General features: G+C 39.5%; 1 protein-coding gene across 10 annotated transcripts in view; it reads right to left on the bottom strand.

Moving 5' to 3' along the window:
* The window catches only part of KCNAB1 (potassium voltage-gated channel subfamily A regulatory beta subunit 1), a 420,928-nt gene that overhangs the window by 25,025 nt on the left and 375,640 nt on the right, over positions 1 to 20,263 (bottom strand). The window lies entirely within an intron of this gene.

Raw genomic sequence — 20,263 nt, 5'->3', positions numbered from 1 at the left:
TAATGACCATTTTAAGTTCTTCCTTTACTTTTATTGCTTGATGATTCCTGGCCTAATAAAGAATACATGATTTACCTTTTTAAGAGCCTGAGTACCTTCCCGACTAAAGTGAGAAGTAAGAGAAGGCATTTGTTTCAACTTTGTAGAATGTAAGGTCATTGAAGGTGAAAGGCTTGTCTTTGTATATTGGACTTGCAGAGCTGGACCTCACACAGAATGGGTCTCTAAGAGAGGTGACTCAACAACAATGTGTTTAGCAGAAAGATAAACATATTAAATGCTGAACAAACAGCCGAAGTCACCGTGGCTCACAGCTTGCAATGACACACCCTGTCCTTGATCACTTTGAACCAAATTTTGTCCTAAGACACCCACATAATTGATTTCACTGGGGCCTGTTTGTGGTCCCACCCAGCGTGCTCATCAGCCTCATGGAGCTCGACATCACATTTCCTAAACAGGAAAATGAATCCCTTCCCCAGAGGATGGAGCTGAGCAAATCCTCTTGGCACCAGCCAGATGTGCTGCAGAACAAGAGAGCATGGAGACCCTCAAGTTTAACTTAGTTAAAATTCACAGACAGGGTTGGATTTCTTCTACAAAGCAGGTCAGTGTTTAACAGGATGCCAGGTCACTCGACAGTTTCAAAGGGTCACAGGCCTTGGGATTTTTTATTTCTCAGTAATACCAGTCAGTTAAATGCCCTTCAGAAGAACCAAATCCTTGTCTCAAAGTAGAGTTGCAGTAGATGTATTTTTTTATTATTATTATTATTTCTCATGAGCAGGCACTGTCTAGATTGATACGGAACAGGATTTGGAATGAAATGGCCAGAGTCAGGGTCTTAGCTTCTTTGCTTGTTTGGCTGGTGTAAACTTTTTTGTTGTTGTTGTTTTTTTTTTGAGATGGAGTCTTGCCCTTTGGCCCAGGCTGGAGTGCAGTGGCAAGATCTCGGCTCCCTGCAGGCTCCGCCTCCCGGGTTCATGCCATTCTCCTGCCTCAGCCTCCCGAGTAGCTGGGACTACAGGTGCCCGCCACCACACCCGGCTAACTTTTTGTATTTTTGGTAGAGACAGGGTTTCACCGTGTTAGCCAGGATGGTCTCGATCTCCTGACCTCGTGATCCTCCCACCTCGGCCTCCCAAAGTACTGGGATTACAGGCGTGAGCCACTGCTCCCGTCCTTCTGTAAACTATTTTTAATTGCCCTTGATTTCTTTTTTGGAAGATGGAAATGCTTTCATTCACCATTGTGTGTCCAACAGAGGTAAAAGCTGGCTTATAAGCAAAATAGTTTTCTTTTTCTTGGAGAAAGACTCTAGAATATCAAATTATTGCCTAGCAACTAAAACTATGAAGTTCATTCTCCATTTATAAAACATATGATTAAAAAAGTGTAAGGAACCGCTTTTCTTCTCTTTCATTATACAAATGGAGATGCGTGCCTATGATAAACAGTTCCAGAAGTTGAAAACAATGATATGAATCTCTGCCCCAGATAGATTCTGTCTTTAGATGTCTCCATCACTGCACCAGCTCCCTTTCCCTTCACATCCTGTGTCATTCAGAGCTGGGAGTTCAGCCAATCAACAGTATCTACTAGGTGTCTGCTGTTCTGGGTGCTGGAGATACTGTGGTGAATCAAACATGCTGATAAACACAGAAGAGGTTAACAGAGAATAAACTGGACCTGGCCTCTCCCTTAACTCTGTCTCTGCCATCAAGTAAGACAGGCACAGAATGCTGACAGGTGGCTTGGGCACGTGGGAGTCCTTGACAAAAGCAGTGAAGATGGAGTGGAAGTTGTGACTCTTCCTGCACATGCATTTAATTATACAACACACAAGTATTAAAAGCTTAATGTTTGCCAGTCACTGTGCTGGTTGCTGGATTCTTCTGTGAGTAAAACAGACACAAATTTCCTGGACTCAGGGAGTTTCAAGTTGAGTGAGAGATGGAGGGGTAAACAAGTAAGTCATTATAAAATGTAAAGTGTTATAAAGAAAATAACACAGGGGACTGGGACAGGAAATGAAAGAGAAGACATATTTAGTGCAGTAAGGAAGGTCTCACTGAAGAGCAATCATGTTTAGGCATAAAAAAGAAAAAAGGAACCATCCTTGTGAAGAACAGTGGAAGAGCATTCGAGGCAGATGATGTAGTATGCGCCTAGGCCCTGAGGAAGGACAGAGCTTAGTGAGTCCCAGCAATGGGAGGGAAGGAGGACAGGGGTATGAGATGAAGTTGGCAGAGGGCAAACCATGTCATTTGTATGTTATTCAAGGTTTAATCAAGGCATTAACATTTTATCAGGTAAGGGGATGGTAGAATATAGTTTGCATTTCAGAACAGTCTCTGTGCTGTGGAGAATCATTAGTAACAGGGAGGACTGGAGGAAGTAGAAAGAGCTTGAGGAAGGTATTGTTGTATTCTAGGCAGGAGATGAGGGTGATTTGTAATAGGGTGATGATGGCAAACAGAGAGAGTGGTGGATGGATTCAAAATAGATGTTGAAGGCAGAATCCACAATACTTACAGATGGACTGAGTGTGGTCAGGGAAAGGGAGGAATTAAAGCTGTTTCCCAGATATCTGGCTGTTTACAGAGATAAGGGAGACTGAAGGAAGAACAGGTTTGGGAGAAAAATCGAGGGTTCTTCTTTGGACATGTGAAAAATGGAGATGCATGTGAGATACTAAAAGGGAGATGACGGGCGGGGCACGGTGGCTCACACCTGTAATCCCAGCACTTTGGGAGGCCGAGGCGGGTGGATCACGAGGTCAGGAGATCGAGACCATCCTGGCTAACACGGTGAAACCCCGTCTCTACTAAAAATACAGAAAATTAGCCGGGCGTGGTGGCGGGTGCCTGTAGTCCCAGCTACTCGGGAGGCTGAGGCAAGAGAATGGCATGAACCTGGGAGGTGGAGCTCGCAGTAAGCCGAGATCACGCCACTGCACTCCAGCATGGGGGACAGAGCAAGACTCCGTCTCAAAAAAAATAAAAAATAAAAAATAAAGGGGAGATGTCAAGTGGATATTTAATAGTTGGATAAATACGACAGTGAGCAATCTGGGCCAGAGGTGTATATACATTTATTAGTTACCAGTCTATTGATTATATTTAAATTCATGAAAATGGATGAGCCTTGTAAGGAAAGTCTATAGACAGAAAAGAGAAGAGTTTCTGATGGCCAGCCCAGGGGTTAGAGAGAGGACCCATGCAGGATGCTGGGTAGCCGGCAGCCAAAGGGGCAGGAGGGAAGCCGGCACACAGGGATGTGTCAGACCAAGAGCAGAGGGCACTTCAAGAGGGAGCCATGCCCACAGGGTGGAACGCCATGGACATTTGTGTCAGAACAGCCCCAAACAGTGTCCACTGGATTTGGCCATATGTAGGGAGACCACTGCAGACCATGAGAAAAGCAGCTTCAGTGTCAGTGATGTGATGGGATCAAGCAAGGTTGGAGCCATTGGAAGCCACTCAATGGAAGAATGAGTGGAAGAAGGAGAGGCCTTAAACACAATGCATTCAATAAGTTTGGAAGAGAAATAGGACAGGAGCTGAAGGGATATTCAGGGTCACGGGACATTAAGAGTAAGCCTGTGTGCCATTTGGAGTGACCTAGGAAGAGGGAGTTATTGATGAAATGGCCTCGGGGCTGGGAAGGAAGAGGGAGAGAGACTTGATAAAGGGAGAGGGAGGAGGGACAGAGCCCCTAGAGGTAAGAAGGACACTTTTGTCAAGATGATGGGACCCAGGGAGGTTTGTAGAACCATCATGGGAAGACATGGCAGCACCTGTTTGATGAATTCTAGTCTCAATAAACTGTGAACCAAGTGTAAAAGGAGGCATGAGATGTGTAGCAGAAATGAGAAAAAGGTGAGGAGAGCCTCTGCGAGGCACTCCAATGCCTCAGGTCTTTTTGTTGCTGGTAGTTTTTTCCTCATTGTTTAGTTTTGACTCTGAAGAGAAAAGCTTGGTGGAATTGGGAAAAGGGAACTCTGTGAGTTCTTGTCCTGGAAGGAGGCTGCAACATCAAAAGCAGGGAGAAATTGCAGGAGAACCAAGAGGCTGCAGTTTTGGAGATTCATGTTGCCATGAATTAAAATTTAATTCTATTTCAGAGAAAAATTCGTTTAGCTTACTAATAGGAAACAACCATACTGATGGCCAAGGTGGGTTTTTACATGATTTGAATAATTAAGAACACTAGAGGGCAGCATTGCTGAAAGGAAAAATCAACTGTCTTCTAGATACTGTTAAGTGCATAACATGGAGATGCCTTTTAAAAGCCTCCTAGGCAGAATAACAATTCTGAGTGAGGAAAGGATGTTAGAAAGATAGTTTAGTGCACTGCATCACCTGCCTCTGGGAAAGGAGACTCAGACAAATGTGATTAAACCTGATAACCCAGTACTGAATGTGACTCTCCTGGTCTGGGCTCCTTCCCTAGTTTTCCAGAAGCCTTAATCCCAGTGGTTCTCAACTCCGACTACATATTAGAAACACCTGGAGTGGGGGCTTTACAAACTATCCAGGCCCAGGCTCCACTGAAATTCTATTATATTAGAATCTCTTGGGGGTGAGGCCCCAGCATCGATAATAATTTAAAAACTCATCCCAGATGATGATTCTAGTGTGCAGCCAGGATTTAGAACCAACGTGCTTGTCTACACCAATGGTCTCAGGGTGTAGCTCCTGGACCAGCAGCAGCAGCAGCAGCAGCAGCAGCAGCACCTGGAAACTTGTTACAAATGCAAATCCCAGGGCCTCACCCCAGACTTAGTAAATTACAAAGTCTGCATATGTGTTTTAAGCAGCCTTTCAAGTAATGCTGACACACACTGCTTTATACTATTCCCAAGTAAGCCATTTCAATGGATACAAACGTCTTCCTATATTTCCTCTTTTGCTTTTTTATCTAACCCAAGTGCTTCATGCTATAATCTTTAGTTATTTGCCTTAGTACATAAGCAAACAGATAGCTAGTATGATATCTACTCTCTCTCTCTCTTCCTCTCCCTCTTTCCCCTCCGCCCCACTCCACCACCATGAATCAGAATCGCCTGGGAAATTTGGCAAAAATGCTGAGGTCCAGGTCCTAGCCTCCTTCAGTGAGCCAGGGCCTTTGTATTAGTTTCATTAGCTCTCAATCACAAACTTTTAGAAAAACTGACTAAACTATTGAAAGACTTTGTTAAGTCCTCCCTCTGCGCTCCTTTCCAGGTTGAAATAATCATTATTCTTTAACCTAATGATGCCTCCCCAGCGCTCACCCGCCACAGGCAGCTCTCGTACATACTCCCTGTATCCCTAGCACACAGGTGGCTCCCTATAAATGCTGCAGGTCCACTTTGTTTCCCTGAGTACTCAATTTCCTTCTGTAAAGTGAGAAATGATATGGATGTTGTGAAATTCTTTCAAAGCTTGACGTGGGATAATGGGTGTAGAATAACTTGTGAATTTGAAACAGTAACACAAACTGAAAATGGCCCAGGTTTCTTCTCAAATAGGCCCAGATTCTAACATTTTGGGGACAGTTGTTTCAGTAATGTAGGCCATCAATGTTTTAAAAAATATGCATTTTATGTCAAAGAAATTAATACAACTATTTGTTCTGAGTGAAAACAATTTTGGTTGATCAATATTTTAATTTTCTAAATTGGATCACATGCCAAAAGTGGTAGCTCACATTAAACTTTTTTTCCTGCAAAATGTTCCCTAGAACTTTGAAAGTTGTAAGCAAATAGTTGTACTGCATGAACAATAAGCCATAGGGGTAAAGATAAAAATATGCTTATTAGAAATTAATGTTTTGATCAGATAAAATGTACTCAAATTAATCTGGCCACAGAGATAAAAGCAAAAGATAAAAAAGATAAAAGCAAAAGAAGCCTTAGAGGTAATCCAGTGCAGTTCCTTCTTATTCTAGATGAGGAAACAGGTTAGGAGTGAAGTTTTTAGGCATAATTAAAAGCTTGAATATTATTAACAATTATAAATATTTTAAATATGCTTGCAAAATACTGAGAAAAAACATGCAAAATAATTGTATTATTTAGTGGAATTACATGCAATTTTGTTCTTAATTTTTCACATTTCCAGTAAATATGTTATACTTTTATGTAAAAAAGAAGAATGATTATCTAACAAGCAAAGGCACCACTTTAGACACTAACATATTATATATTTAACCAAATAAAATTGCTATTTTTAGAGCCCCATAATAGTTTAATATTGACAGTATCCTATGGTTCAACCCAGCTGATATCAGATTTTTTTTTTTAAGAGGCAAGGATCAAGATGGAGGCTACAACACTGGTATAATGCAAGAATTTGGTTTCATCAGAGGAGTTGCTGTTAACACTAATAAAAAATAGGCCTAGACCTAGGCACAATTTTTACTTCAGGTCAGCTGTTTGTGATTTATCTACCTTAAGTTGTTTATTTATTTAACTTCAGAAGCTTGTGGTGGTGGTGGTTTATAACTGTACTGCTTTGAAGCTTAGAGGAATCATCTTGAATCTTGATCAGTCCTTCATATTCTGAGCTGCAGAGAATCCTCTCAGCTTGATGCCTGGAGATAGAGGACTATCATTCTTCAGAGGACTGGAAACTTATAATCATAAATGAAATGATGTCATCCTTAGTATGGATCATGAGTCACATATCTTAAAGGTTTGCTGAATGTCTGAGGACAGCCTGGTTCCATTTGCCTTACAGAGCATGTATTAGGATGCAGGAGACATTGTTTTTTTTTGGTCCCATCACAGTCACTAACCTTTGACATCTCTTGTCCTTGCTGAGATCTCAGTTTCTTCAATGCAAATGAGCAGATTGATATTAATTAAGCATATACTTAATCTTGACAGTAACTGTTTAGGTGGGAATATTTGAATCCCATTTTGTTGAGGAAGAACCTGAGACTCAGAAAGATAAAATCACTTGGGCCAGGTCTCAGCAGATAGTCTATAGACCCCATCTAGCTTTGAAGTTCTGTGATCTGTCATCGTGAGAGGTTCTTTGCATAATGCATTGATGGAGAAGATGGTTTGGGGAGAGAAAACTAACAGAGCATTTACTTAATTCACCTCATTGTGTGTTTGTGAACATGTGATGCCTTGTGTGGTTATATCCATCCATCCCTTTGCATTTAATACACAGATGGCTATAGTTCATGATGAGTATAAATGACTTGGGAAATATGAGCTTTCTTTTTGTTTTTTTTCGAAGAAAAACTAAAATCTGATGACTCTTTGAAAAGAGAGGCAAAAAAAGGGCTGGTGTCTGCATCTGATCTGTCAAAGCTTAAAGAAAGAGTGGTCTTCACAGGGCAGTTTATAGGGAATATGCTTTCTGGATCAGGGCACTGGCCAAACTGATTCTGAATCAGAACAGAACAGATTCAAGAGACTAGAAAGGAATTCATGCACTGAGCCAAGTCAATAAAACCTCTTCTATCTGGAGAAATTGAACCTTCTTCAAAACTCCGACCCAAGAATGGAGCTTTATGTCTCTGAAGGCAATGCATTTTCCTCCACCCTGTAGCTACCCTGAGAGAACCCTCCCTAAAGAGCACATGGTCCTCAACCTCTCCTCTCTGCCACACACTGGTTTTCCCTGACTCTAGACAGTTTGAAGTGAGCCTTTGATATTGCCCAAATATGATTTCAGAACCTTATTCTAAAATGTGAAATAGGTTATTGAAATGGGACACTTTTAGTCTCACTTTTAGCTCAAGTCCAAAGGCTCTGAACAGCAACTGTTGTTTTTAAGTACCCCTGAGTTCCAAAGTGAAGCACTAGACCACCTATGCAGGAGACCATGGTGAAAAATGTTTGGTCATCTTTAGCCCAGCCTTCACCTTGAAAAAATAAATGAGTTAAAAAGAGAAGCCCTTTTAGAACTGATCAATAAATTCATTAAGGTTGCAGGACACAAAATCAACATACGAGAATCAGTACCATTTCTATACGATAACAACAAACTAGCTGAAAAATAAATCATGAAAGCAATATCATTTACAATAGCCACAAAAAATTAAATACCAAGTGATATGGTTTGGATGTTTGTCCTCTCCAAATCTCATGTAGAAATGTGATTCACAATGTTGGAGGTGGGTCCAGGTGGGAAGTGATTGGATCATCAAGTGGATCCCTCATGAATGGTTTGGCATCATCTCCTTGGTGATAAGAGTTCTCACTCACTCAGTTCACATGAGAGCTGGTTGTTTAAAAGAGTCTGGGATCTCCCTTTTCTCTCTCTCTTACTCCCTCTAGCCTTGTAATACACTCCCTCTCCCCCTCTTAGCCTTCCACCATGATTATAAGCTCCCTGAGGCCCTCACCAGAAGCAGATGCCAGCACCATGCTTTCGGTACAACCTGCAGCTCCATGAGCCAATTAAACCTCTTTTCTTTATAAATTACCTAGCCTCAGGTATTTCTTTATAGCAATGCAAAAATGGCATAATACACCTATAAATAAATTTAAGAAGGTAAAAAATCTCTACAATTAAAATTATGAAACTGATGAAAGAAATTGAAGAGAACACACAAAAAATAGGAAGACATCTCATGTTCACAAATTGGAAGAGTTAATACTGTTAAAACGACTATACTACCCAAGGCAATCTATACATTCAATGTAATCCCTATCAAAATTCCAATTACATTCTTTGCAGAAATAGAGAAAACAATCCTAAAATTTACATGGAACCACAAAAGACCCAGAATAGCCAAAGCAATCTTGAGCAAAAAGAACAAAGCTGGAGATATCATACTACTTGACCTGAAAATATACTACAAAGATATAGTAACTAAAATAGTGTGATACTGGCATAAAAACAGACACATAGATCAATGGAATAGACTAGAAATAAATTCACATATTTACAGCCAACAGATTTTTGACAAAGGTTCCAGGAACATTCACTGGGGGAAAGGGAATTCTCTTCAATAAATAGTTCTGGGAAAACTGGATATCCATGTGCAGAAAAATGAAACTATATTCCTATTTCTCATCATGTACAAAAATCAACCCAAAATGGATTAAAGACCTAAATGTAAGACCTGACCTGAAGCTATGACACTACTAGAAGAAAACAGGGGAAATGCTTCAGGAAATTGGTCTGGACAAAGATTTTATGGGAAAGACCTCAAAAGCACAAGCAACAAAAACAAAAACAGACAAATGGAATTATATTAAACTAAAAGCTTCTGCACAGCAAAGGAGCTAATCAACAGTGTAAAGAGACAACCTAGAGAATGGGAGAAAATATTTGTGAATTATTCATCTAACAAGGAATTAATTTTCAGAATATACAAGGAATTCAAACAACTCAGCAGCAAAAAAAAAAAAACAAAAAAAACAAAAACAAAACAAGTAATCCAATTTAAAAATGGGCAAATGATCTGAATAAATATTCCTCTAAAGAAGACATACAACGGGCCAACAGGAAGCCCCTGTCTCTAAAAAAACAAAAACAAGGCATAAGATACCATCTTACCCATTAGACTGGCTACCATCAAAAAGACAAAAAAAAATGCTGGCAAGAATGTGGAGAAAAGGAAAATCATATGCTGTTGGTAGGAATGTATATTAGTACAGCTATTATGCAGAATAGTATGGAAGTTTCTCAAAAAACTAGAATTAGAACTACCATATGATCCATCAGTTTCACTACTGATTATATATCCAAAGGAAAGGAAATCATATGTTGAAGAGATACCTGCACTCTCATGTTTATTTCGGCACAATTCACACTAGCCAAGATATGGAATCAACCTAAGTGTTCATCAACAGATGAATTGATAAAGAAAATGTGTTATAGATACTCAATGGAATATTATTCAGCCCTAAAAAAGAATTAAATACTGTCATTTGTGGCAACATGGATAAGCCTGGTGGACATTATATTATGTGAAATAAGCCAGGTGCAGAAAGATAAATACTCATATTTATCTCACTCATATGTGGAAGCTAAATCAGTTGATCTCATAGAAGCAGAGAAAAGAATAGTGGTAACTAGAGGCTGGGATGAGTGGGAGGGAAAGGAGGATACGGAGAGTTTGGTTAATAAACACAATATTACTGCCAGATAGGAGGAATAAGTTCTAGTGTTCTGTAGCTTTGTAGGGAGACTATAGTTAACAATTGTTTGTTCTATATTTTCAAATAGCTAGAATAGAGTATTTTGAATGTTTCCAACACAAAGAAATGATAAATGTTTGAGGTGATGGATATGTTAATGACTTTGATTTGATCACAACACATTGTATACAGGTAGCAAAATATCACACTGTGCTCCATAAATATGTACAATTTTTATGTGTCAACTAAAAATAATAATAAGAGAATAAATAAATGGAGGTTGAGAGATTATTTGGTCTTGTTTGAGCTTTGTGGCATTGCCCCTGTGATCTTTCCCTCCACCTTTATCTTTCACCTCATCTCTAAGAAAATAAAACTTTAGAACCTAAAATTCCCATTTGTAGAACTTGCAAGTAAGAACAGTTCCCTGAATTGAGAGCTTGACCTTGCTGTGATTTCTCCCAAACAGACAGACACAGGCTGTCCTGGGAACTCTGCTCACTCCTTGTACAACTCTCCCTACAAGGGGAGGCTATGGGATGCTATATCCTCTTAATATTATTTCTTGCTCCACCAGACATGTACTCTTTAATCCTAGCAAGACAGCAGTTGTTCATCTTACATTTAGATAAGAATGGCGAAGTGACTTGCCCAAAGCAATAAGAGAGCTTTCTACTCTATCCTCATTATTTCCCTGTAATTCTTTTATCACCACCCCCAGTTTTTCCAGCTTCTCACCTAGACTTACCACTGCCTGCTGACATGCTCCAAGAAATAATTATGTAGAATATGGTTCACAAAATTGCACCTTTTCTTTCAACATAATCTAAATATAGCCCCACCGTTTTCTACTAAAACCTGGTGATTCCAAGTAATCAGTTTGCTGTGTTTGGTTAATGCTAAATGGTAGTAATTAAAGAGGTTATTCTATCCTGATAAAAGTGAGGTGGCATCCACAATGAGTATAGAGTACAATGCTATTATTGCATATGTCAAATTCTATAGGATTTGTGAATAGTGCAATGAATTCTAATTCATTTAAAAACACTCAAAATGAAAGTAAACCCATCAGTTTAAATTTTATCTGGAGCAAGGCAATGAACAAATTTAAACAAACAAACAAACCTAAGTGAACTGAAATTACAGGACTGTGCAACTTTCCTAGATACCTGACTTATATCTTCATTTGTGAAGCTAAAAGTTTTATCATTACTAGGTTGTAGGACACTGATCCTCTTAGCATCCTGGGGGTTCCTTTGGCAATGTTACTGAACTAACTCAGTCTGTAAAAAAGCAACTTTTATAGTTTGAACATGGGTCTTACCCTGATGTGGGATATTTCCCTGACACAAATGAAAATGTTAAAATTTGAAAAAGAATTATTTGTCCTTCTAAAATTTGTAAAGTTTTGTTCTTGTCACCTAAGTTTCTGATTCATCTTGAATTTGTGTGTGTGTGTGTGTGTGTGTGTGTGTGTGTGTGTGTGTGGTTGTAAGGTAGGGATCTGGTTTCATTTTTTTTTCATATTATAGAAAATAGAATGCCACTTTTTCCATGTCCATTTATTGAATAGTCCCTTCTTTTCCCACTGATGTTCTAGAGTACTTTTGTCAAATATCAATGTTTTATAAATGCTAGTGTCTGTTTCTGGAGTCTCTATTATAGGGACTAATATTATATTACATCAATTTATCCCATAGCCAGTACCTTCCTTAATTACTGAGGTTTCATAATGAGTGCTGGTACTGTGATAGGGCATGTCCTTCCCTTCCACTTTACCCATTTTCAGGAGTCATTTGGCTCTTCTTGGCCCATTACCCTTTCTTATATATTTTATAATTAGCTTATCAAATTATTTTAAAAGCTTGGAAGGATTTTGGTTGGAATAGGGCACATTTAGCAGAATTGGCATCTGATATGGTTTGGCTGTGTCCCCACCCAAATCTCCACTTGAATTGTATCTCCCAGAATTCCCACATGTTGCGGGAGGGACCCAGAGGGAGGTAATTGAATCATGGGGGCTGGTCTTTCCCGTGCTATTCTCATGATAGTTAATAAGTCTCACAAGATATGGTAGGTTTATCAGGGGTTTCTGCTTTTGCTTCTTCCTCGTTTTCTCTTCCTGCCACCATGTAAGAAGTGCCATTCACCTCCCACCATGATTCTGAGACCTCCCCAGCCATGTGGAACTGTAAGTCCCATTAAACATCTTTTTCTTCCCAGTCTCGGATATGTCTTTATCAGCAGCATGAAAATGGACTAATACAGCATCTTTAAGGTACTAAGTCAGGCCGGGCGCAGTGGCTCACGCCTGTAATCCCTGCACTTTGGGAGGCTGAGGGGGGTGGATCACCTGAGGCCGGGAGTTCAAGACCAGCCTGGGCAACATGGTGAAACCCCGTCTCTACTAAAAATACAGTAATTAGCCAGGCATGGTGGCACATGCCTGTAATCCCAGATCCTCAGGAGGCTCAGGCACGAGAATCCCTTGAACCTCGCAGGCAGAGGTTGCAGTGAGCCAAGACCACATCATTGCGATTTCCAGCCTGGGCAACAGAGCGAGACTCCTCTCAAAAAAAAAAAAAAAAAAAAAAAAAAGGTACTAAGTCTTCCTGTCCATGGACTTAGGATATATCTGCATTTATTCAATCTCCTATAATGTCTTTCAGTAAAGTTTTATAAATTTATTCATATACCATATACTCCTTGCACATCTTTTAAAATCTTTTTATTCCTACTTACTTAATATTCTAAAAAATATTCTAAATGGTTTCTTCTTGCCTGTGCAGGCTTTTTGGACTCTCATTTTCCCTTCCTTTTGTTTCTATGGAGGTAAATAGCAGTTCCCCGAGGAGGAGAATGGAAGCTGACTATGGAATCTCATGCATTATTAATGTTTTCCCCTTGTCATACTGGTGTTCTGTATTGAGGGTAATTATATTTTAGAAATCAAAGGAGCAGATGACAATGACAGCGGCCTCTAGTAGAGACGGAAAGGCCTACTTCAGGACATTTGCCTGGTTAGAAGGCTATCTTATCCCTGTATGAGACTCAACTGCTGCAGTCTATGCTAGTATATTGATATGTAGTCAGTGAAGCCCCTCAAATTCTATCATAGAACGTGGTCAAGATAGTTTTGACCTAGAAAATTTTCAAAGCAGGTGTTACCAGTTACTCATCACTGCCATTGATGATGATACTTCCACAAACATCTGATTTTCAATAACCTGATTTTTCCAGTGAATGTACCAGAATGAATGATCTACAAAACGTATACAGAAATAAATAAGGAAATTAACCTACTCTGTAGGTTTATTTGATAGATCCAATTTATTCTAACTTAGAATAGCTAAACGAGACTTTTTTATATATCAGAAACAATTAATAAACCTAATCAGCAACATGTGGAAAGATATAAGTTGTTGTTACCCTTCATTTAACTATAATATATAAAAATGTCTAAAGATAATATCTTTAAGAATTGTTAGTTTTTTTATTTTGCAATTCTCTTGAGCTTTGGGTTGCAGTATTTCTTACTGAGAAATAAAGATGTCTCTAACTTCTTGATGTATTAATTAGGTTTTTTTTCTTTTTAAATGGAGTAAGTTATTGAAAACTCAATTGGAAGTCTTAAATTGTAAAAGATTTATCTGCTCATGTCACTGGAAATGCAGTCACATGGTGCTTCAGGAATGATTGTTCCCACAAATCACTGAGGACCAATCTTTTGTCTAACCCTCCACTCTGCTATCCCCAGGCTGGTTTCCCTTGTGGCACTGGTGTGGCTGTCAGTAACGTGTGAGGTCATGTGCTTCCTTGCACCTAATTCAGCTGGGCCCTCTGCTTCATCATTCCAAGAAAGACTTCTGAGATTTACTCTAGGCTGTTCCTGTCACATAAACCAATGACTCTGGCCAAAGGGGAAAAACAAAAGGATCATTTAGCTTACAACCCAGAGCCTACCTTGCAACCAAGGAGTGGCAAGGAGAGAGTAATGCAGTCTTCCTCTGGGTCAACTGGCAATCTTGGAAAAGAGTCACCCCCATATGAAAATTTGGGCACCTGAGAAAGCAGGGTGGCTGCTGGGTAGACAAGCAACAATTTCTACTCTGCTTAGATTGGGTCTTGTGGGTCACACCAGGGAGCTGGGTTCCTAGGCCACATGGCAACAGAGGGACAGAGAGGGCATGGACTCTACTGAGTGCCTACCTTGTGCTTGGCTCTGGGCTGGGAATTTTTCCATTACTGCATTTATGTTTTGCCACAGCCGTATGAGGTGGTATTATTACATTCCCACTTTATGTTTGAAAAAATCAGGTTCAGGAGGATGAAAATTTGATGAAGCCAGTTTTAAATTTCTCTCTAAAACCAGCCCTACCCACTAGCCCCCAAGCTCAAACAGAATGAAGCAAAATATCTTTATCCCTTTTTCTTCATCCACATTTGTATTTCATGCAAACTCTTTTGATTATGTGATTTGATGCACATAGAGGGTTAACAATATGAAGGGACCTCAAAAATTTCATGGAAAGATGAAATTAAAAGATGACAATACAAAGTATAAACTTTATTTCTCAACTTAAGCCCCATCAAGTTCAAGGCACTTTTGTAAGCAGTGGTACCAGCCATTTAGTTCACCCCTAAAAAACTGAGGGTCCTAGAAATTTAACTATATCAATAGTCTTTTCACATTATTAACTAAAGAAAAATGGGTCCCCTTTGAAGATTATTTTTAAGATTAAGAAACAAAAAAAGAAGGCAGAAGGAGCCAAATCAGGACTGCAAGATGGATCCCTCATGATTTCCCATCAAAACTCTTGCAAAATTGCCTTTGTTTGAGCAGGAACATTGTCATGATGGAGAAGGACTCTCTGATAAAGCGTTCCCAGATGTTTTTCCTCTAAAGCCTTAACTAACTTTCTCAAAAACACTCTCATAATAAGCAAACATTATCATTCTTTGGTCCACCAAAATGTCAACAAGCAAAATGCCTTGAGCATCCCAAAAAGCTGTTGCCATGACCTTTGCTCTTGACCAGTCTGCTTTTTCTTTGACTGGACCACTTGCATCTCTTGGTAGCCATTGCTTTGATTTTGCTTTGTCTTCAGGATCATACTGGAAAAGCCATGCTTATCCCCTGTTACAATTCTTCAAAGAAATGCTTCAGCATCTTGATTCCACTTGTTTAAAGTTTCCAGTGAAAGCTCTGCTCTTGTCTGCAGCAGCATTGTGTGCAATGGTTTTGGTACCCATGGAAAGAAAACTTTGCTCAACTTCAATATTTCAGTCAGAATTGTGTAAACTGAACCAACTGAGATATCTACGGTGTTGGATATTCTTTCCACTGTTAATCATTGGTCTTCTTTAATTAGGTCATGTATTAGTCCATCTTCATGCTGCTGATAAAGACATAACTGAGACTGGGCAATTTACAAAAGAAAGAGGTTTACTGGATTTAACAGTTCCATATGGCTGGGGAGGAAGACATGGAGGAGCAAGTCACGTCTTACATGGATGGCAACAGGCAAAGAAAAGAGAGGTTGTGCAGGGAAACTCCTGTATTTAAAACCATTAGCTCTCATGAGACTCATTTACCATCATGAGAACCGCACAGGAAAGACCTGCCTCATATTAAGTCACCTCCCACCAGGTTCCTCCCACAACACGTGGGAATTGTGGGAGTTACAATTCAATATGAGATTTGGGTGGGGACGCAGCTGAACCATATCCAGGCATAAGCAAGATGAATTTTTCTTCTTGCAAATTGATGTGGATGGTTTGCTGCTGTGGGCATCATCTTCAACATTGTCTTGTCCATTCTTAAAATGATTTATCCGTTTTTAAACTGCTGGTTTCTTTGGGGGCACTGTCACCATGAACTTTTCATAAAGCATCAATAATTTCACCATTCTTTCACCCAAGCTTCACTATAAATCTGATGTTTGACTTGCTTCAATTTTAGCAGAAATCATGTTGCTTTGACAGGGGCTCTTTTCAAACTGACATCTTATCCTTCTTAGTGCCTCAAACTAGATCTTGTTTAGACATGCTATACCAAGTTAGTGTGAGTTTATTTTGGCACAAAATAAATATGCAGTCCATGCACAGTTTTTTCATAATACACATTTTTCCACAAACTTTTCGAAGACCCTATGTATCTATATCATTTGAAGAAACAAGCCTTTGGGCCTATCAGAATGTGATGTATTAGGCAACATACTCACTAAGAATAGTTTTCCTAATGTTCATTGAGTTGCTAAAAAATAAATTTAACCAAACCCCACCAGTTCTACATGGCATCTAATATTTCTATATTCATTAGTGGAACAGTTATTTTTATACTTGGAAGCATCTGTCATTGCATTGCAGATATCTGACTCAAGTCTTAAATTTCTGATCTTTTAAATTGTGTAAATGTCATCCTTATTGGTCAGACAGACGGATGTGGAATCTTGACACATAACTTCTTATTCTATTATCCTGTCTAGAGATTTTTATTTATACAGCTGTCTGTGTATCAGCTTCTTGGGACAGGCTTTTAACTATTTTAAAAGGAATTCTGTCTTGTAGATGAAGGAATAAAGCAAGAATCTTAGCAGAGGATTGATAAGAGTAAAAAAATATTTACCCTAATGAGATTTTCTGCTGGTAAATCCAGTTTCATGCTATAACAGGAAGCAATCTTCATTGCTCCTTTAATAGTGTAGAGCTGGCCTTCCTTCCTGGTTGTGCCATGGCACATGTCTGGAAGGAGATGCTTTCTTAATGTTAGTGATATTAAAACCTCCACTTAACTCATGCAGCTCAGCTCACTGGCAGTCTCAAATGCATTTTAGCTCTGTGGCACTTATTTATATTGTCAGATATCTGTTAACTAACCAAAAGGTAAGTTTAAAACTTGGTATGTTAGAATAGACTGCTTTTCTTAGTTTTTCAACAGTGAATTACCCAGCAAGGAGGAGTTTAATATTTTAAATATTAATGTTAATATTTTAAAATAGAGCATCTGTCACTCTATATGTTAAAATGTGAGGCTGACCCAGTAGTGGCTGGGCAACTGTCACTGCAAGGGCCATTACAGAAGAGGCTGTCCTGTCTCCATGGGTCTTCCCTAGGATGCCCCATTTTATTTCCTTGTACCTATTTCACTATTCCACACATTGCCTGGTTGTATCTGGGGCCCTTAATCTCTTTCTTTGGGACTTTCCTTGCTGTTTCTGAGGCTCTTCCCCATTCCCCATACAATGTTGGCTGTTTTCCCTTATTTTCTCCATTAGAATCTTCTGCTAAGGAATGATTCATCAAGGTTTATCATGGTAAGACATTGCTTCTACTACATGACCCACTAAAGTGGCTACAAAAACAAGTAGTATTAGATAGTTTTGGGTTTATCATAAAAATGTATGCAAACGTTCTATACCATATGTATTAGTCTATTTTCATACTTCTATGAAGAAATACTTGAGACTGGGTAATTTATAAAGAAAAGGAGGTTTAATGGACTCACAGTTCCACATGGCTGGAGAAGCCTCACTCTTACGGTGGAAGGCAAAGGAGGAGCGAAGGCACGTCTTACATGGTGGCAGGCAAAAGAGCATGTGCAGGGAAACTGCCTTTTATAAAACCATCAGATCTCATGAGACTTATTCACCATCATGAGAACAGCACAGAAACACCTGTCCCTGTGATTCAATCACCTCCCACCAGGTCTCTCCCAAGACACGTGGGGATTATGGGAGCTACAATTCAAGATGAGATTTGGGTGGGGACACAGCCAAACCGTATCACCATAAGAAAGAAATTGATTTAAAACAATAATAATATTTTTCTTTATAAATCTTTACAAATATTGTGCCTTTACAAAACTGACATGGAGAAAAATGTCACATATTTACTCTGTGGCTCCTTCAACTCACTCCCTGCCTCCCAAACCCACCTCTTACACACACAAACACATTTCCTTGTGCTTCAGGGGAAACACCTGCCTGGTTGTGAGGCAAAGGGCAGTAGGAAGGAGTCAGTGATAGAAAATGTGTAATGTATTGTCCTTCTCAGGGACTACACATTCATCAGGCACAGACTCCAGACTCCTAGTTCACCCTAACTCTTTATGGTCTGAACTTTTGTGTTATCTTCATGAGACATTTTGAGATGCTCCCTTACATTAATATTAAGGGTCTTTTACCTTCCGGGGTATTAAAAATGACAGTTAACACATATGGTACCTGTAAGGTGCCTAGCAATGTTCTAAACACTTTACATGTTAACTACTTTATTCCTCACAGCAATATGATAGAATAGGGTTATTACTGTTATTCTTATTTCGCACATGAGGAAACTGAGGCACAACAAAGGTGGGTAAATTGTTCAAGGTTACCCAGCTAGTAAGTGATGGAGCTGGGATTTGATAGCAGGCAGTCTGGCTCTAGTCTGCTGTTGTTCACAGAGAACACTTCAGCAAGTTAGAAATCAGCAAACTTAGTATTCCATTGTGTGTATGTATCACATTTTCTTTATCAAGTCTATCACTGGTGGGTATTTAGGTTGATTCAACATCTTTGCTTTTGTGAATAGTGCTGCAGTGAACATACATGTGCATGTATCTTTATAATAGAATGATTTATATTCCTTTGGATACATACCCAGTAATGGGATTGCTGGGTTGAATGGTATTTCTCCTTCTGTGTCTTTGAGAAATTGCCATGCTGTCTTCCACAATGGCTGAACTAATTTACACTTCCACCAATAGTGTAAAAGTATTCCTTTTTCTTCACAACCTCACATACCATGGAATACTATACAGCCACAAAAAGGAATGAGATCATGTTCTTTGCAGGGACATGGATGGAGCTGGAGGCCATTATCTCTAGCAAACTAATGCAGAAACAGAAAACCAAATACCATGTGTTCTTATTTATAAGTGGGAGCCGAATGATGAGAACACATGGACACACTGCAGGGCACACACACTGGGGCCTGTTGAGGAGTTGAGGGTAGGAGGAGGGAGAGTATCAGGAAGAATAGCTAAGGGATGCTGGCCTTAATACCTGGGTCATGCGATGATCTGTGCAGCAAACCACCATGGCACATGTTTACCTATGTAACAAACCTGTACATCCTACACATGTATTCCTGAACTTAAAAGTTGGAAAAAAAAGAAAAAAATTGGCAAACTTGCTTGTAACCAGCAAGATAGATCAAGAGGCTTTGACAGAACATAACAGGTTACATTGAAGGAATGAAATGTTAACTCTTGAACTTCTTTGGGAACCCACAGGAACCATATTCTGCTTCCTGAGGTCACTTACTTCATACAGATGGCTGCTCAGTGTGTGTGACTACAAGGCACTCCTCTGTGACACAGCAATGTGAAGTCTCTTTTCCCTACTTGGCCTTCATTGCCTTGAAACTTTCACACGTGAATCTCTTTCAACATAGGAATTTGACAGGACAGATACAGAACAGTGGAGAAACAGGTCATTAGTTCCCAAGCTGTCCTTCACTCATAAGCTATTGTCTACAATAAAGCAGGAAAAGATAAGTGCTGAGTAGAGAAGGAGGCACCATGCAGAATAGGTGAGAAAGGAGGGTGTTTAAATTTAACTAAGGGCATTAGGATGGCTTCCCAGGGAAAAGTCTAGGGAAACACTGGCAGCCCTAAGAGCCATGCTCTTCCAAATTTTTTATTATGCTTCCCAATCAGTCAAACAAAAGGACATAAATAACAAAATAATGCTAGTAATGAATTATAAGTCATAGAACAAAATCAGAATCTATGAGTTCATATTGATATAAATAAACAAATAAATGGGGAAGAAGAGAGAGTTCTTTTTTACAGCAGAATGCCAATCTGCCCCCTTCCCCTGCAAACGTTGAAAGTGTGATGGAAATAGAAAACCACCTTGGCAAGCACAACAGTGCTGGTTTCAGGCAAGAATCACTGATGAACGCTAAAATTACGCATCATCCTGATGAGAAACAGGATATTTGCATAGTTTCAATGTATCTCCCCCAAAGAGACTTATTAATTACTAAAGGTAACTTTACAGTGGAGAAGCCTGGTAGGTACCACCATAAAACCAAGTGATCAAAGTTAACATCTTCAGTAATGGGAAAACTAGACATTCTGCACCCTCTAGCATGATGTATTGGGAAGGATACAACATTATA

Source organism: Homo sapiens, chromosome 3 (genome assembly GCF_000001405.40).
Source record: "Homo sapiens chromosome 3, GRCh38.p14 Primary Assembly".
NCBI lineage: Eukaryota > Metazoa > Chordata > Mammalia > Primates > Hominidae > Homo > Homo sapiens.
Note: the sequence above shows the minus strand (reverse complement) of the source record. Positions and strands in the feature narration are given on the sequence as shown.